The sequence below is a fragment of the Homo sapiens genome, chromosome 7 (assembly GCF_000001405.40).
Source record: "Homo sapiens chromosome 7, GRCh38.p14 Primary Assembly".
Taxonomy (NCBI): domain Eukaryota; kingdom Metazoa; phylum Chordata; class Mammalia; order Primates; family Hominidae; genus Homo; species Homo sapiens.
Genome location: NC_000007.14, coordinates 17779627 through 17800076, shown reverse-complemented (window position 1 = coordinate 17800076; position 20450 = coordinate 17779627). Strand labels below are relative to the sequence as shown.

At 34.8% G+C, this 20450-nt stretch overlaps 1 protein-coding gene across 13 annotated transcripts in view, besides 1 other annotated feature; it reads left to right on the top strand.

Moving 5' to 3' along the window:
* The window catches only part of SNX13 (sorting nexin 13), a 149734-nt gene extending 140418 nt beyond the window's left edge, over positions 1-9316 (top strand). For all 13 annotated transcript variants that reach the window (NR_146932.2, NR_146933.2, NM_001350863.2 and 10 more), the window contains 4 exons: positions 923-1068; positions 1319-1387; positions 3138-3250; positions 5785-9316. Coding sequence is in view for 11 of the 13 variants with exons in the window: in NM_001350863.2 (NP_001337792.1) it covers positions 923-1068; positions 1319-1387; positions 3138-3250; positions 5785-6032 (576 nt within the window). In the remaining 2 variants the exon portion in view is untranslated. The remainder of the gene's footprint in view (positions 1-922; positions 1069-1318; positions 1388-3137; positions 3251-5784) is intronic.
* Positions 17858-18152: a silencer, noted in NCBI's record as "tiled region #6645; K562 Repressive non-DNase unmatched - State 18:Pol2". NCBI's record gives its function as "represses a minimal TATA promoter and a strong SV40 promoter by Sharpr-MPRA in K562 cells {active_cell/tissue: K562}" and the evidence as "EXISTENCE:reporter gene assay evidence [ECO:0000049][PMID:27701403]".

Here is a 20450-nt window from a genome sequence, read left to right as displayed (position 1 = left end):
GAAATGGGTCTCCCTCTCCCTACTGGTTTTGATTAAGCTGTATGATTTCAGTTTTTGAAATGGAAGGTGCACTAAGGAAATGTTTGTAACGTGACAGTGAAAAATGTATAACTCATGCTTTCTTGCCAGTATTTAAATTACAGTGTTGATGAGGAAATAATTGGAAACAGTTTCTCAGTGATGAAAAAATTATAAAATTACTAACAATTATATGTGGTACTAAATCTGTACCTGCTTTTTATTTTATACGTATTTTTTTGCATCAAAGCATTCCGATCGTCTTCCTTTTTACCTTAGTGGTTGTATACTTAGTGGTTGTATACTCCCATAATACTGACTTTTATTTGCTAAAAGCTAAAAGAAAATTCTAGTAATTTAGTAAACTATGCCTTTTGTAATGTGAATTTAGTTGTGTGATGGATTGAACTTCAGCATCTTTTTCCTGAAAGTACATAAATACATACAATTTACTAACTAAGCAAAATACATTATTCTGTATCATTCATGTTTTGTTCTATTAAATATATGGAGATGTTGAGAATATCTTATTCTTGTGAAAAAGATGCATCAGAAAATAGACAAAGGGTCTAGCATTTGCCTTATCAAACTCATACAGTCTCTTCCAATAGTAAGAACCAAATCATCTTTTCCTAGGACCATCATGAATCTACTTTGCCTTGAAAATGTTAAACTATAGCCTTAAAATTTATTCATTATTGTGGGGCTATGAAGTTCTGTATTCTGTCAGAATGACTACTAGAAATATTTTTTCTACATTAGAATTTAATGTCAAGTTACAAAGGCTAAAATGTAACTTGTTCTCTGACTTGTGAAATATCAATCATTTCGTAAAAGCAACAAAAGTAACAATTCATAGTAGATAGCTAACTCAAACTTATTCTTATTTCTTATATTTTGTCAGGTGGATGACAATATTCCACTTAGGGTAATGCTGCTTCTCATGGATGAAGTATTCGACTTAAAAGAAAGAAATCAGTGGTTGCGAAGGAATATCAAAAACCTACTTCAACAGCTTATTAGAGCTACATATGGCGATACTATTAATAGGTAGCACTCTTTCCTCCTCGCTTTTAATCTGATCTTACTTAGCTATTAAACTCTTACTTCTGGAAGTAGATTGCTCAACCTTTGTAGGAGAATTTTTTTCTCTGGGCCTTTTAAGGACATCATTAAAGCAGTCTGTTGCTCTCAGGGATAATTTACATCCAGATTAAGTTGCTTGCTCTATGAAAGTCACGTTTATTTTTTTCACCTTCTAAAATTTTAACCTTCCTCATTTACATTAATTTACTTTCAGAAAAATAGTTGACCATGTTGACTGGATGACTTCACCTGAACAAGTAGCCGACTCAGTGAAACGTTTCAGGTATATCTTAAGACACAGTCACTTCTTTCAGGTAGTACAGAGTTTAGCATTGTTATCACTAATTAACTTTCATTGCTTTTGTTTCCTTCCTGGACATAAAGTTGGTTTAGTTATCATTGATGAGCAAAAAGACTTCTAAGAATTATACTAAACATTTGTCTTATGAACCTATTGATCTTTGTTTCTTTAAAACCAGAATAGGAAAAGTAAGAAGAAAGATCTTTCAAATGATAGGCTACATTTTATCACAGTACCATGGCTGTAAGATAATTGAAATATTCACCTAAAAATGATATGGTTGTATCATCAAATATCTAGTTTTGGGGATTAGTTTTTCTCAGTTGTATTTTCTAACCTTCATTTTAAATGAAATTGTTTTAAGTAAGTCTCTCTGGCTATGTTGTAATTTTTTATTAAATATTGGAACCTCTACAAGGAACAAAAATTAAGTAGGTACCCTACTTCATATTTCTTTCTACAAAAAATACTGAGCGCCTCCTCTGTGCCTAGCACTCAGCCCATTGCTGAGATAAGATGCAGTCCCTTGAGGAAAGTACAGATAGTAGAGAAATAAACCTCTTTTCTGAAAGTGAAGATAAGCAATGCGTAAAAATTCATGGCATCATGTATTTTGAAGGGAAGGAAAGGAAGCAAGAAGGGAACTATCAGTATTGAACACTAAGTTCTTGGCACTGTGCACAGTACTTTATGTATGCTTTCTGATTTTATGCCATTTTTCGAGGTAGGTATTTTTGTCTCTATTTTGTTATAAGGAAATTGAGGATTAGAGAAGTTGAATAGGCTCTCAGGCTACAAAGTGGGGAATCTGGTTTCTCTAATCTGAAGCTAAGTTTCTTCCCACTGTACCATACTGTTTCCAAAACTTGGACTAGCTGCCCTGGCATGTTCATTTTATTTCAGGGTAGGTAAATGATGTTCCTCTGGAGTGGTGATTATCAGCTTTGGCTGTTCATTGGAATCACCTCTAGAGCTTTAAAAATTACTAATGCCTAGATCCCATGTCCAGGGAGTCTGACTTAATTAATCCAATGAAAGGCCTGAACATGAAGAGCCTGTAAAGCTCTCAGGTGCTTCTAATGTGTAAAGTTAAGAACAGCTGCTCTGGGGAGTCTTGCCCTTACACCAAATTCCCAGATGAAAGCTTAGTTTTTGTGCTCAGTCCCTGCCTTCAGACCAAGAATTAGGGAACAGGAGTAAAGCACACTGAAAGTTAAGAAGAATGGGTTGTTTTACTTGTGAAAGGACCATTATAGTCAATCCATCTGTAAGTTGTGGGCTTAGAATTTAGTATTATGTAGGCTTAATTATAAGAGGAGTGGGATGGCATAACTGAAGGAGATAGCTATTAAACTCTAAGGCATTGAGATTCAAGATATTGTAGGGTTGCATTTGGATGAGATGTTCAATCAGCAGATGCCCACTTTGAGTTTAAATGGCTGTGATATAGTCATGTACATATTCCATTTTGCTGTCTTCATTAGTGTTTATGAACTGCATTGGTGCAGACTTTATCTGGTATTTTTCTTGTGTTCGTTTTTTTTGAACCCCTAAAATTGAACCCTACACTTAGTTGATCTTTCTTGAATATCATTATAGCTATATGTTATTATTCAGAAACTTTTCTTTCTGTTCACATTTGTATTTTCTGTAGAAATTTGAAATAATTTTATCAACTTGTATCATTAGAAAATGAAAATGTTTACAAAATGTATTTAATCTTCTCAAATAGAGATGCATTTTGGCCAAATGGCATTTTAGCAGAGGCTGTTCCATGCAGAGATAAAAGTATTCGAATGAGAACAAGAGTAGCAGGAAAAACGAAATTACTTGCAATTATGCCAGGTGAGTGAGCATGTATAGTTAAAAATCTTTATAATTTGTCATTCTTCTGAGTTTTTAGCATTCATCATGCCAGTGTAACTGCCTTTTGATTATAACAACTACCTTTTGATGGCTTAATACATATCAGGCACTGTACTAGGCATTTCTCATATGTTCTTAATCAGTCCTCATGACAGTACTGTAAAGCTAAGGACTGTTAACATCACCGCTTTATATGTGAGGAAACGGAAGCTCAGAGAGGTTAAATAACCTATCCAAGGTTTATAGCTACTAAGCAACAGTTGGTATTCTGACTTGGCTTTAAGTGATGTGAAAGCTTATGCTTTTAGCCACTTCGCTCTGCTGCCTTGAAACATATTGGGAGTTAAGTTAAATAAATAAAATACATGACAGGTGAAAGGGCTAATAAAATATAAAGTATGAATTTTTCAGGAAGAATATTTGTTGTACTTAGGAAAACAAGTTATTTCAAAAACTCCATTTACATAGAAAGAACTGATTGGCTGATTATTAATCTTTATTACTTAAAATACAATCCCAAACAAAGTATACTTAGTAGCATTTTGTTGGTCTGATTTTGGTTGCTTCATTAGGGTATAGCTATCTCACTACCTTAGATTTACTTTTTCTCGTTTTTCTTCTTTCAATCAGAGAAGTTATATAATGTAAAAAGCAATTTAATGCGGCTGGGAGGTGGTGATGGTTGTTTTGCCCCTTGTTAATGAGTATCTTTGAAAATGCCTGCATGTCTTTTCTCTGTATTTTAATTCTGGATGTAGAGAATGAACAGACATATTTGTACATTCTTTAATATCACACAATACCAATTTTTTTCTCTAATTTTGTTTTCTTACCTGTATTTTCTCTATAAATTTTAATGACCAGCCTTCTCTTCTGTCAATTAAATTAAAAATTTGCCACAATTTTAATTCTTACCTATATACCGTTTCATTTGCTGATAAAAAAGCAAATTATAGAAATGACATTTTAGAAAAATAAGAAACAATTGCTTAGGATATTATTTAATATACTATTATAGTAAACCTGATTGTGCTATATGGACTGACTCAGTTATCTAGCTGGAAGAAATCTTTATTCACTAAATATTTATTGAAAGTTATTATGTGCCAGGTGCTGTTCTTTGCACTTATGTTTGCCTTCTTGGAGCTTACTTTCCAGTAGAAATAGAGAGACTCAAAAACACACAGAACAAATAAATGGAACGTAGTTTGTTAGATAAGTGGTAAGTACTAAAGAGAAAGATACTGCAGGAAAATGGAATAGATAGTGTCAGATGAGTTGCAGTTTTAGATGGGGTGGCCAGGGCAGGCCTCACTGAGATGATGATGGTGGTGTGAAGATCTGAAGGAAGTGAGGGTAAATATGAAAGCATATAAATTTATATATACATAATCCTTGCCTATTTTTTAGTAAATTCTCAAAATTTTTGCTTTAAATTATATCTTACCCCTAGTTAGATAAAGACTTTTTGGAAATTGCATGTTTCTTTCCAAAGCAGCAAAATAATATCTATATTATCAGTATTATGAATAATTATTTGTAATTATGAATAAGAATATGAATAATTAATAATCATACATGTTGGTCTCATAACTTGGTGTTATTTATGATTAAACACCAAATTTGCTCACTCTTAGTCACAGCACCATCGGTTTTCTATTTTCTTTGCTTTCTTCACTTTGAATTTAAATAAAATTCAACCCAACTTGTACTATCCCTATTTCTTGAGCATGCTTTGTTATTCTAGTTACTGCTTATTTGCTCATTCATGTTCTTTTCACCAAGGCTAATCCTTCATCTCATTGCACCTATCAAAATCCTGCCCAAGTAGAAAGTCTCCTTTACCTGCCACTTCCTTAAAGGGAACTTTTCTTTGTTATCGCATCTGAAAGTCTCCCCACTACCAATATTCTTATACTTTTAGCATTTTTATGGTATAGTTACTATGCCAGGGGTTTTTGTAGATCAGGGATTAATTTTTTTTTTTCCTGTGTTCCAATGAAACTTTATTCACCATCATGGATTAGTTTGTTTCCTTACAGCATTTGTCACTATTCATTAGGCCTACTAAGAATATTTGTATAATATTACAAAGTTTACAGATCACTTTTTACATTATTTCATTAAAGACTTATAAATCCTTATAAGGATGTTATTATAAATCCTCCTTTTCAGATGAGAAAAGAGAGTCAGGGTGGTGGGTAAGTATCACATGGGTATTAAGGGACATGTTTGTAATCATAGTTTGGGATCTTTGAGACTGTTTTTTATTTTTTATCTCTTACACCTGTGCTATATTGTCTCCCAGTAGCTTTTGCATTAAGTGCGTAAATAGATGCATGCATGCAAAGATGCATATTAAGTTTCAGCTATAGTACATAGCTGAAATGCATTAACTGGTTACCTACTGTTCATCAGTTACTCTGCTGTGTACCTTAATTTAAGAACATTTAAGAGTTTAGGCCTTGTGTTTCCTTTGAATAATTATGTGTGTTTTCCTCCACTTCATTTAGATGAGCTGAAGCACATTATTGGGGCTGAGACAACACGGAAAGGTATTCTTCGTGTTTTTGAAATGTTTCAGCACAACCAATTAAATAGGAGAATGGTTTATGTCTTCTTGGAAGGCTTTTTAGAAACCTTATTTCCACAGTATAAATTCCGTGAACTTTTCAACAAACTGCATTCACGGTCAAAGCAGATGCAGAAATATAAACAGAAACTTCAAACTACTCAAGCGCCTTCTTTGCAGAAAAGGTGACACTCCACTCTATGAAGCTGGTGTTCATTTTGTCCAGGACTAATGGTATGGACAGATCTTCTGGGGCTTAACTCAAATACTGTTGTGTCTGCACCAGTCTTTTAGTGTCTCAAAATAGATTATTAATACATCCATAAGTCTGTGGTTCTTCTCATTCTCATCTATAATCCACCACTACCAAGAGAGATTTCTGTGTCTTAAATGATTTGGTGCATATTTTGCAACATTGAGAGAAAACTGCCCCCATCTCAAGCAAGAATGGCGTTGGTTTCTTCCATTTCAAACTAATCAGCATTCTCCAGCAATGACAAAGTGCCAGAGTGTATATATGAAAGCTAAGGAAAGCACAAAACAATGGTTCAGAGATAAATTGGCTAATTTGTTTAACAGTTGGAGACTGTGCAATGTACGACTTGGAGGAGTTTGTTTGGCATAATGATTTTGTAGGTCTGTCAGCATTTTGATATATTGTGGATTAGCCAGGTGAATGATCCTTGAAACATCTCTTTCAGGTCTGGAGAAAGAGACAGAATGCCCTTAAAGTGTGAAATAACCTTATACCTGAATTACAGTTTTGTGATATAAAATAAAGCTGAGTATAAAATAAAACCAATCAAACACAGAATTTGATTGGATTTGTTATTCATTGGTATACAACAATTTTTATTCTTATGTGTGCTTTAAGGGCTGTGTTTTGCTCTTAGGGTACTCAATTTTATGTTTCCTTTTGGCATTCTTTGTGCAAAAAGAAGCATGTGGTGGCTCTCATTTAAATTTCAAAATTATTAGTTTTATCTTTAACAGATTACTGATTATACAGAAGATATAATTTATTGGAAGAACTGCCAAATACATTTTGTCCTTCTAAAAATATGGAAATTTAAATAGTAGTCTGGAAAGTTACCATATGATAATTTTTAATTGTGTGATCTAGACATGCCTTAGGTAACTGCAGAAATAGCAAATTAAATGATTAATGAGCTTATTAGTCATAGTAAACATACAGATTCCTAATTCTATGACAGTGTACATATATGAAAATAAATGATGAAAAAAGAACTATAATATTTTTAAAAATATGCTTTTATTTATATTTCACATAATGTAAAGTTCTACAAAATAAAGCTAGTAGGCAAGACCCCTCAGTGTATACCTTTAAACCCATAAATTAATTTTATATCAATAAAATAAAATACTTTCTCTAGTTTTGGAGCTTCTGTATTTCCTATAGTTTTCTGACTGTCCATTTTATCCATCTTAGAAGTATTCACATCCCTTCTATGCAGGATTTCTGCATAGTTTTAAATACTTTCATTGCCTAAGGGTTTGGGTGTGTCAGCTTTTTTTGTTTTAAAAATATTTAACACTAAAACCTTAAAATAATGAAGCTACTTATCAGACCACTGAGCCAAGATCCTGGTATTAAAAGAAAGTCTGGGTGCTTAAGATAAAGGGACAGAGTATTGGTATCCCAGTTATTTGGGAGCTTTAAGATTGGAACAAGATATCACTGTCTTGTTTTCACTTAGATCCTACTTACAAAGTGAGGGTTATTAACAGAATAAAGCCTTCCTTTAAAGCTTTATAATAATCATATTTATTAATAATGCTGTTGTGCATACTTATAGTATGCATATATTCAGCATATGTTGCATGTCTTCAGAATTACATAAAATGAAATCCCTTTCATTGCAACTTGCAAGTGAGAAAAGATCCTTAGTGGCTCTGGTGGAAGAAATAGTATTTCTTCTTCTCAGGGTGTCTCCCTGCCTTGGCCCCTCCCTGAGCCCCAGGCTTTAAAAGTGAAAATGTTTGAAACATGAAACATGTCTGTAGGAAGCATCAGCATGGCCATAAGTGCAGTGATTTTCATATATGCCTCTGCCCATTTCAAATATATTTTTGACATGAATAAATCTAACAGTATACAGAATAATTCATGTAAGACCCTAACGTGTACATGTGAAAAAGCATTTCTATATAATGTGAGGAGCACTGGCCATCAATTAGGGAAATAAAGGTCATGTAATATTGCAAATTTTCAAAATAGAGCCCTGCAAGATAACTGCAATCATACCAAAAACTATTTGAGTAAATGGATTTTTAAAGTAATTTTTGTTTAGAAGAGTTTATATTTCAGAAGCAGAAAATGTCAAATGATAGTCTTTGTAAATGGTGGTGCACCTTCTCTATGCACATCTGTCTTTTACATCAGAAAGAGCTGTGGTCATGCTAAAATTAGAGATAACTTTTTGAATGACTTGGTCAAGCTGTGTGTAAAATATTTAACCATAAGTCAAGTACAGTGTACTATGTTTAATAAAGTTACATTTAATGCATTTATTGCATATATGAATATATACATGAAGAGGCTTTATGTCTTCTGGTATTTGATTTTGAATGTTTTTTAAGTCAGTGGTGCCTTTAGGCAAGAACTTTCGAAATTAATCATTCTTTGTGTTTTCTGATTTTTCAGGTAACATGTACACTATTTAGAAACCATCATAGTTTATTCACCTTAAAAAATTGATTGTATTATTTAAATATATCACTTAGATGGGCATTTCCTATAATTAGGATATTCCAAATAGTTGCTGAAATCAATTGTGCCATTGACCAATGGATGCACTTGGTTAGCCTTAATTTTTTTAAAAAAAAAAAAAACAAAAACTTTCTTGAATATTTCAGTTTGTTCATTTTAAGTTTGTGCTGCTGGTATTTGGGAAGAAAAATCAATCAGTTAAGTGCTACCAGAAAGTGTACCAATTTTTATAAAAATTAAGAATGATATAAATTTCACAATCTAAAATTTTAATTTTGTGCAATATTTTCATTTAATGCATGTGTATTTGAGTAATTGTAAGATAAATGAATTTTTAATTTTTTGAGATGTAGCTTAAACTGTCTTCTTAATCCAACAACTTACATTCCGTTGTTGCTGCATCCTTTTATTTAAGGACTTGTTTTAAAAGTCTTTTTGTCACTCCTTGGAAAATTCTTTTATTAGTAGTAAATTTTGCTTTTAGGAGCATGGCTCCTGTATTACAAGGGAAAAAATATGAAGAGCACATTTTAGGATTATAATTGTTAAAAGATAATGTGTGCATATCATTGTACAGTAAGTGTCAACTGTGTGCCTAACTGTTCTATCAATACTTTCTTTCTTTAACAAAGAAGAAACAACAATCAGAATGTCAGTTATTTTTATTCAACTAAAAGGATTAAAAAATTTATTTGGTTTGTGTTCTGTCCATTAGAAAATACTAATAAAGTATTAACAAACATTTTTGTTGAGTTCATTTAATAGTAATGTATTTTTGTTACTTTTAAGATGCTTGCTCAGTAGTCTTATTTTTAGTATCTGTTTGTATTTTCTTTTCTTTTAGATATCAACCAATTCAAGTTCCAGGTTGATAGATGAGTGCTTGAGTGATTACTGACTTAAATGGACTGAATTTAACTTTTTCTTTTATGGGGCAAATAATTTACACCACAGTGTTAAAGAAACTTTATACTTCCTCATCGTATCAAATTATAAAGTATTTTCCCACAGATGAAAAGATTTATAATTAGTAATCCATTTTATTTGATCTCATTTTAAATTCATATTTTGGCTAATATTTTAGATTTTGCCATTCTAAAAGTAGATTGGTCATAATATTTGCATCTTTCTTGGAGCTGTATCAACAGACTTCTAAGGCCTCAGATGTGATAACTTCTAGCCCATCAGGGATTGGCATATTTCTTAAAATGCATATGGTAAAATATTGTTCCCTATAAGATGTTCCTGAGGGAGAAGTTTTATACTTTTATGTAACTTATACAGGACTATCTGTAATATGAACCAAAAAGCAAAAATGTTCCTTCATAATTCAAATGATTATATCAAAAATTTTGAGACGTTCCATAAGAAACCTGTTTAATTTTGCTTACCTAATTTCCTAAACTTAGTTAACCACAGAATCTTTTGTCATGAACAGCTTGAGGATGATGTTCTCATGGAATGTAGTTTGGAAAATCTTTAGTAGGAGAGAAAAAAAAGGTGAGGTGTCTTTATTTAGGGAATGTAAACTGGACAGAAAACCCAGTGGATTTGGAGCACAAAGATTTTTTTCTTGCCTGCCATTTTAATGGAAAGTTCAATCTTTGGAAGAAAAGGGAAAGATGGAAAAAGGGTGAAGATGGAAAGTTAACAGCTGATTATATAGCAGATATTAAAGAGTTGAATTTGGCTCTGAATACCAGAATAATGACTTCAGTGAGGAATAATAGAGCACATCTCATGAGAAGTGGGAAAGATACTTCCACAGATTTTGCTCATGTGACCAGAAGAACAGTAACTTGGAAATGTAAGGGGAAGAAGGAAATGCCATACAGTTTAGTTTATAAAATATTTGTGCCAGATATTGACCCATATATATGATGACAGAATATGTTTGATTTAGGAAAACTTGCAGTAGCTGAGTGAAAATGAAATGTAACCCGTCTGTTTACCAATGCAGTGTATGAGACATGTATTAAACGTGATACTTTAAATTGGTAAACATGATCTTTTACATATCATCAAGAATGAAATGAAACAACAAGAACTATTTGTTAGGAGTTTTCCCCCTTGGTGATTGACTAGGAGGGCTTACAAAATTCAGCATATAGTCATACTCACAGATAAGATTTATTATGGCAAAAGGATATAGAACAAGAGCAAAAAAAGTGCATGGATGAAGTCTGGGGGAACCAGGCTCCAGCTGCCAACTGCTCTCTCCCAGTAGAGTCACACAAGATGCAACTTAACTCCCCCAGCAAGGAGTTGTGACAACACCTGTGAAATGTTGCCAACCAGGGAAGCTCATTCGAGACTTGGTGCCTGGGGTTTTCATTGAGGGCATTTATTTAGGCACCCTCTGCCTGGCACATAACAGAATTCCTTTATGGAATTTCTTTCTCAGAGAATTGTGTTCAACATACGCTGTAGTTTTGGTATAGTTTAGGCTTACTGAGCCACTTTTATCAGTTCTGGGAATTGATGGGAACACTCCTAAAATCTTAAATTCTCAAACACCTGAGAACAAGGGCCAACCTTGTAAGCAGGCCTCCAAGGAGAGCAGTCAAGCCTCCTATGTTAACTCTTCTGTATGACTATATATAATAGAAAGTGATGATGTTGAAAGTCCATTAAGATTTATCCTTGTGTTGAAACCTCCATATCTAGAAGTGGAAACATGACAGAGGAAATTTTGACGTAAATAAAAGGAAAAACTATTGAAGTGATACTGATACGGATATATATTGCAGTCTGAGAAACAGGAGGAGTATTTCCGATAAAGATTACCATGGCAAACAGTTATATGGCACTTAATAGTCACAGCAACCTTAGGCATTATAGGTACTGTTTTATCTTACTCAGTTTCTACATGAGCAAACTAAATAAGACAGAGTAGTTGAGTCAGTTTGTCCAAAGCTTCACAACTGGTAACTGGTCATCAAGCTGAAATCTCAACCCAGGTGGGCTGGCTCCAGAGTCTATGTCATGGTTTCTCAGCAGTGGCACTATTGACGTTTTGGGCTATGTAATTCTTTGTTGTGGGAACTATCCTGCGCATTATAGGTAATCCATTATTTTACTTATTCTGTCCATTAGTACCTAATATTTAAGAACATTTACAATAGTAATGGAATTAATCTAAGAGAAGTTCAACTTAATTTTTTTTAACATCTCAACACCAGGTATTAAGAGATACTCAAAATAATTGTCAGATTTATATTGAAAACTAATAAATGCTTGGTGTTAATATGTCTACATAAAATTCTTTTTTTGGTGTAATATTCTTAGGCTGTTAGAAAAAAAAACATGGTTTACTTCACTAGTAGAAATACCTCTTAATGTTGAGATGGCCTCTTCCCTGGGCTCTGCCCATTAGGTGATGCCAGTAGCACCCCCTCCCCCACTGTAACAACCAAAAATGTATGTGGACATTGCCAAATAGTGTCTGGGGTGCCAAATTACCACCAATTGAAAACTACTGACCTTAGCTGTCAGTCAAATAACCAAGGTAAGTAGGGACTGAAGATTGAACTGTGGATTGCTGAATGTCTTCTCTTTTTAAGCAATCACCTGACAAATTTGTGGCTTGCATTGTAGGGGAATGTAAATGGAATGCCTACTTCTGCCCTAAAGGGATGGAGGTGGCCGGGGTGCAACAAGTCCAAATTTCTTACCTTGCTTTCAGTTAAGTAAGCATCCCACAGTTGGGGGAGGTTGGGTAGGGAAGGGACTTACAACCTAAGATAAATAAGAAAAACAGTTTTTCAAGATGTTTGAAGATGTGAGGTAAATGATTACATGAGAAAATTGTCATTTTACACCCTGACCAGCCTAATTTTTAATTCAGTAATACTGGTTCTTAGGAAAGTTATTTTTCTTTCAAATAACTGTTGTCCTTTTTATTTGTGAGCCTGTCCTTCTAAAGCCTGAAAATTTTCTTGCAGCCTTCTTTGCAAGTAAACTCCCGTCCTAAATGCTGTTGTCTGAGTTTTCCTTTGACAGGTGGATGTTCCACTGGGATGCCCAGGTGACTCACCTGCTGAGCCAGCTTTGCCTAGTTGGCTGTTTACATCCAGGCTCACCTTGCCTCCAGGGATGAACCTCATTAAACAGTTAGAGCCTTTACACTTGCTGACTGTTTTCTACTTTCCCCTCCTCATGGCTCTTTTTCTGGGTCTTGGTTAAGTCTGGTTCTGGGTTTGATAAGTGCATGGCTGCTTTATTTCTCAATTGGTGGAAGCAGTGTTAGAGAGCTGACTTTTGTGGTCTGACCTAATTTTCTGCCAAGCAGCTATTTATCTTTCTTGATTGTCTTCATGTCTTCAAGGCTGTTGATATCAACTGGCATCTCAGTCAGGCCAATATCTTGTCTCTCCTGTATGATTAAGTTGTTCATGTTGCAGCCTAGATCAGTTTCTTCTGCCAGTGGCAGAATCCTTCATGTTCCTTGTCTTATTTATTTTATTATTATTTCTTAATGTGTGGGTGCTCTCTTGTTTTGTTGTATTTGGGGTGAGGTTATTTTAGGGCATGGTCCAGGGTAAATTCCTGTAAGGCCTGGGTGCCCTGCTGCGAGGTCAAGGGGGAATGGGACTAAGACTGCAGAGCCCTGGCTCCCCCACTACCTACCAATTGCCGGCCCTTTGTGGGGGTCTCTTCTGCTTTATCTGGCCTGAAAGAGACTGGGATGTTTCTGATCCCGGGGCTCCTGGGGGGTTGGTTTGCAGTATTTCCAGGGATGGAGTGTGCTGTGGCCACCGGTGGGAAGCTTGAGTGTCTCCTCCCAGACTATCTGTGCTTCCTCATCTGTTTCTTCAGCTTCTGGACCTTGAGCACCAGGGCTGCGGCCCTGACCCCCTCCTGCCCTTCCAGCAGGGCCTGATTCAGCTCCAGCTGCTGCTCCAGCAACTCCTCAGCTTGGTCCAGCTCAGCTGTGTGGTGGGCTTAGGGCCCTGTTAAGGGGGAGAGGGGGAGGGAGCATCAGCCAGGGCAGGGGGCTAAGGCCCTTGGAACCTGTGTGGCAGGGTCTGGCTGTAAGGGAGGAATTCGACCTCCCTTTCTCCTTTTCTAGCCCATTTGCTGAAGGCCCCCTGTACTGAGAAGCCCAGAGAGCTCCCTGTCTTGTGCATGTTCCTCGTCTTATTTACACAGTGCTATGAGCGTTAAAAAGTATTCAAGAAGATAGTTTTCATGCTTGCTGGAAAGCAGGCATCTTTCAGCTATCCTTTGTGTCTCTGATCTCCCTCCAATAAGTTGGTGAGTTTTATTCTTTATTTTTGATTAAGAAGGATGAAGTTACAAAAGTTAGGCTGCTAGTTCTGTGTGTGTGTGTGTGTGTGTGTGTGTGTAAATATAAGACCTCTCCTTGTAAAGTGTGTGTGTGTAAATGAAAGAAAAGACCTCTCCTTGTAAAAGCTTTTTACAGATGTTTATACTTGTAACACTTTTTGTATTTGCAGCTGGCATTTACCCACTTTATGGTCTCTCAACTTCTGGAAATTATTGATATTAATTAGACATACAAATTGATCATTTCTATGCACTACTGGTGATACGTAATTTAAAAATACAGATTAACCATCAAATATGAGGGAGTGATGGGGAGTGATGCGGGGATTTAAGTAAAAAATTGAAATTAGTTTTACATAGTTGTAAAGACTTCAGATTTAAGAATTTTCCTTTAAAAAACACTTATATTAATGAATGTGTAAGTGTAATGGAATGAGACAGCAGACTGAATGGGAAAATTACTTCTGTTTTTTTCTGGAGATTGATGACCTCCTAAGCAACCTAAAGGGTGCTGAGTAGCTTGGATTTTTATTTTTCCTTTCTTTAAAAAAAAAAAAATCCCATAAAATAAAATGAATCAAATACAAATCAGATGGTCTGAAAAAGCTTTGTGTTTAAAAACAAAACATACACACATAAATACTGAAATGGAAAGAAATTTGGCACTAAACTCCTCCACAGTACCCTAGTTTGCCCAGATGTTGGATAAAAGTATTTTATGAGTGTACAATATTTTCTAAATACATTTGTTGATAAACTTGCATGCCTTTGCTTCTCTCCAGAGATAAGTACTAAATTAGATTTTAATGTGTCTTAAATTTAATGGAGCTCTGTGTCCCCTCCAAATCTCACGTTGCCCCAGTGTTGGAGGTGCGGCATAGTGGAAGATGTTTGGATCATGGGGACGTATCCTTCGTGAATGACATGGCACTATCCCCTTGATGACGAGTGAATTCATGTGAGACCTGGTTGTTTAAAAGGTGTGTGGTACCTCCCCCTCCTCTCTCTTGCTCCTGCTTTCACCGTGTAACAATCCTGCTCCCGCTTCACCGTCTGCCATGAGTAAAAGTCCCCTGAGACCTCCCCAGAAGCTGAGCAGATGGTGGCTTGAACAGCCCGTAGATCCATGAGCCAATTAAACCTTTTGTCTTTATAAATTACCCTGTCTCAGGTATTCATTTATAGCAATGCAAGAACAGCCTAACAGAAGCTCCTATTTCGATTGGTATAAACAAAGTAAGACTTTTTGTAAGAAAACCAAATTTTCAGAGAGAAAGTAAAAAAACAAAAAACTTCAATGGGTGAGTTTACTGGCTTTTTAAGGAATTTCAAATAGTTAAGGAGATGGGTTGAAGAAGTTAGCCATGGTTTAATGGCCTTGATTGCCAGATTACAAGAAACAAAGATACGCATATGTTATCAAATAACAGGAAACAATCTAAGACCGTCAGTATTTTTAAATAAGAGGTTTTTAAACCTATGAAGAAGTGGGCAAAGGATCTAAATAGACATTTTTCAAAAGAAAACATACAAATGGCCAACAGGTGTATGAAAAAGGGCTTATTATCACTAATCAGGGAAATGCAGATCAAAACCATGAGATGTCATCTTAGAATGGCTGTTATCAAAAAGACAGAAAATGACAGATTCTGGGAAGGATACAGAGAAAAGTGAACTCTCATACACTGTTGGTGGAAATGTAAATTAATACAACCATTATAGAAAAACAGTATGGAAATTTCTCAGAAAACTAATAAAACTGCCATATGATCCAGCATATGGGTACTTATTCAAAGGAAAGGAAATCAATATATCAAAGAGATGCATGTGCCCTCATGTTTATTACAGCACTTTTTACAATAGCAGAGATACGGAATCAACTTAAGTGTCCGCCAACGGCTGAATGGATAAAGAAAATGTAGTATATTTACACAATGAAATACTATTTGGCCATAAAAAACAATGAAATCACGTAATTTGCAGCAACATGGATGGAACTGGAGGTCATTAAGTGAAATAAACCAGCGACAGAAAGCTATTATATGCCTCCCAACTCATATGTGGGAGCTAAAAAAGTTGATTTCATGGAGGTAAAAGGTAGAATGATTGTTATAAAAGGCTAGGAAGAATGTCAGTGGGGAGGTGTTGGGGGGAGACAATGAAGAAAGGTTGGTTAATGGGCAAAAACATACATTTAGAATGAGTAAGTTATAGTCTAGTAGAGTAGGGTGACTAAACAACAATGTATTGTACATTTCAAAATAGGTAGATGTAAGGACTTGAAATGTTCTCAGCACATAGAAATGATAAATGCTTGTGGTGATGGATGTCCAAATACCTGATATTACAGAATCTATGCATGTAAAATATCACATATGTTCCATAAATATGTACAAGTATGTGTCAAAAAATTAGCTCTAAGAAAAATGAGGTTTTTGTTATTAAGTAAATGGTGGAAAAAGATCAGGTAATATTACTAAACAAAGTGAATACTTGGACAATTTAGACAAGTGTGATAATTTTTAAGTCAATTATATCTTTGCCCTGATGTGAAAAATAATACTGCTCTAAAGTTTCTAATTTATGTAAAATTTTGATATGTTTTTCTATGGAAAGCATAATTTGAATGCCATAAAATTTTCTACACTGATTTAATAGATCAGATTTTTGTTTCCACAAAACACTTAAGATTATGAAGATATAAAAAATATGTGTTTAACTAAATCAGTAGTTTTCAACTGGGGGTGATTTCACCACTCATGGAACATTTGATAATATCTGGAGACATTTTTGGTGGTCACAACTGGGACATTGCTACTGGTGTCTTTGTGGATGGAGGCCAGGGATGAGGCTAAATAACCTATAGCTCCCCACAGTAAAGAACTGTATGGTCCAAAATGTCAAGAGCACTGAGGCTGTGAAACACTGAACTAAATTACAGCTTTATAAAAAAGCATTTGTTTCTCTGATGCTACAGATCATAAGATGATGCTGTATTGATAGTTATTCCATTTACAGTTTCTATGTAAAAAATTGTCATATTCTTAAAATTCATCCATGTTATTGTATATATCAATTGTTTCTTTTATTGTTAACATTTCATTGCATGAATATACCACAGTTTTATCCATTCACCAGTTTAAGGACAATTGGATTATTTCAAAGTTTGGGTGATTATTAATAAAGCTTCTATAAACATTGTTACATAAAGAATTTGGGCTTTTTCCTTCATTCTTGGGAGACTATAAATCCTTGGAATTTCTCTAGGAATAGGAATGTATTTGATTCATGAGCCCCTTGGATTATTAAAGTTTATGCTAACAAGATGAGATGACTTAGGATGGAGGCTGGTCCCCAGAAAATTTAACCTGTGATTAGAGTGTTGGGTTTTTGAGCCAGCTGACCTCTAAGGAGGGGAGAAAGAGTTGAGATTGGATTCAATCACTTGGCTGATCAGTTGTGCCTGTGTAATGAATCCCCAATTAGAACTCTGGACAGCAAAGCTCAGTAGAGTTTCCTGTTTGAAGAACACATTGGTGTGCCAAAAGGATATCAAAGAAGAAAATTTAAACATTTAATTTCAAAGATCTAATTGGCTTTTATTAGCAATTCATGAGCCCGGCAGCATCCAGTCTACAAAATAGAAAGGAGTGCCAATAAGCTAGACAGAATGGATGGGTTTTATGGCAGAAAAAAGTGGAAGCAAGCAAGAACAATGAACAAATTAATGGATGGATTGTTTTAAGATTACATTTCTTTTATGGGAGTAAACAAAATCTTGTTAGCCTAATGGAATTTGGCATCATCTCCTGATTTCTCAGAAGGTCATATCTTGTAAGTGAACCATTTAGGTTTGGTGACCTGGAACCTTGGCATAAGTGACTCCATTTTGGGCCTGCTGCCTTTTCTTTAAAAAAGAGTGACACCCTAATTCCATGGGAAGAGCACACAAAAGCCCTGTGTTGCAGAACCTCCTAGACCTTGCCCTTTGTCTCTTCTGGCTGTTTCTGATTTTTACTTCTTATAATAAAGAATAAAACCACAGTCATGATTACAGTGCTTTCCTGAGTTATATGAGTCACTCTCTTATCGAACCTGGGAACGTTGTGGAAACCACAGGATTGGTAGCCAGTTGATCAAAAATGCAGGGGACTTGGGCACCCGCAAGTGCATCTGGGCCTCAGAAGTAAGGGAAGTCTTACTGAGGAGCATGCTTTTAAACCTGCGATGTGTGGTGCTAACTCTGTGTGGTTAGCATTGAAGTTGTATTACAGTACACCAGGTGTCATCAGAATAAACATTCATGTGCCAGTCCATGGACATATGTTTTAATTATCTTGGATAAATTCCCAGGAGTGGGATTGCCAAGTTATGTGATAAATGTATATTTAATTTTATCAGAAACTGCCAAACTATTTTCCAAAGTAGTTGTAGCATTTTGCATTTCCACCAGCAGTGTGTGTTTCCGTTGCTCTGCATCCTTGCTAACACTTGTATTATAAGGCTTTTCTCGTCTTTAAGTTTAGCCATCTTAATGGGCATACAGTTATCTCTGATTGTGGCTTTAATTTGGGTTTTCCTGATGACTAACGTGTTATACACCTTTTTATATGCTTGTTTGCCATTCTGTCTCTTTGGTAAAGTGGGTGCTCAAATCTTTTGCTCATTTCTTTTTATTTTGGTTTTTTATTAATGAGTTCTAGGAATTATGGGTACATTATGGATACAGGTTCTTTATGTGTGCTTTGCAAAGGTTTTCTCTGTATCTTTTAATTTTCTTAACAGTATTTCTCAAAGGGTAGGAGTTTTTAATTTTGATGAAGTGCAATTTATCAATTTTTCCCTTTCATTCTTAGAAAACTTTGCTTAACTCAGCACCACAAAGACATTCTCTTACATTTTCTTTCAGAAGCTTTTTATTTTTGGATTTTACATTTAGGTCTATAGTCCGTCTCTCAAATATATTTTTATGTATGATGTGGGGTATAAGTTTGGGGTTTTTTTTTATGAATCCCCAATTATTCCAGCACAATTTGTTGAAAAGATCATTTTGTCCCCCATTAAATTACCTTGACACCTTTGTTGAATCATTTGTTGACCATGTATGTGTGGTTTTATTTCTGGATTTTTGTTCCATGGATCTATATATATATATATATATATTATTTTGCCAATACTGTAAAGTTATAGTGAATCTTAAAATTGGGTAGTGTGAGCCCTCCAACTTGGTTTTGATTTTTCAAAATAGCTTTAGCTATTTGGGCTCCTTTGCTTCTCCATACAAATTTTAGAATCAGCTTGTCTGCCAGACAAAACAAACAAATGAAAACCAAAAAAAAAAAAAAACAAAAAACCTCTAAGGTTTGCATTTAATCTATAGCTCAGTTTGGTGAGACTTGGCATCTTAATATTGAATCTTCCAATCTATGAATATAGCAGAATTTCTCTTATCAGTGTTTTATAGTTTCATTGAACAAACCCTTTACATATTTTGCTAGATTTATTCAGTGTCTCATGTTTTTTGATGTTATTATAAATCGTTCTATATTTTAATTTTAACTTTCAATTGTTAATTGCTAGCATGTAATAATACAATATTTTATGTTCACCTTATATTTGGTGACCTTGCTAAACTCACTTGAAGATTCTGTGGGATTTTCTGCATAGACAATCATATCATCTGTTAATAAAGGCAGTTTAAAATCTTCACTTTTAATTTTTTTTGTATTTTTTATTAATTTTATTATGTAGAGGTGGGGTTTTGCCACGTTGCCCAGACTGGTCTCAAACTCGTGGGCTTAAGTGATCTACCCGCCTTGGCCTCCCAAAGTGCTGGTATTACAGGCATGAACCACCACACCTGGCCTAAAATCTTCATTTTCAATCCCTTCGCCTTTTATTTCTCTCTTGTTTTATTTTACTGTCTAGGAACTCCAGCATATTGCTGAACAAGAATGATGAGAATGGACATCCTTACCTTGTTCTTAATCTTAAGGGAGAGGTGTCTTGCCATTCAGCTTGAAGTTAGTTGTCGGCTTTTTGTAGATGTCATTTATTGGAATGAGGGAGTTTTTCTTTATTCCTATTTGCTGACAGCTTTTATCACAAATACATTTTGAAGATTTCAAATCCTTTATATCATTTTCAGTTATCATGTAGTGTTATTTTTTACTCTGTTGATATGGAGAATTACATGATTTTCAAACATTGAATAAACTTTGCATTCCTGAGATTAATCCCAATTGGTCATGACATATGATCCTTTTTGTATATTGTTGGATTTGAATCTCTATTATTAAGGATTTTTGCATATATAGTCATGAGGGATATTAGTCACTTGTTTTCTTTTAATGTTTGGTTTGTGTAGCAAAGCAACAACATCATAAAATGAGTTGGAGTGTATTCCCTCTCTTTTTATATATTCTAGAAGAATATATTATTTCTTCCTAATTGTTAGAATTTGCCTGTTAGGCTATGGTTTTCTTTTGTGGAAAGTTTTGAACTACAAACTCAGTGTCTTTTATAGATAAAGGACTGTTTGAGTTATTTATTTCTTCTTGAGAAAGCTTTGGTAGTTGGAGTCTTTG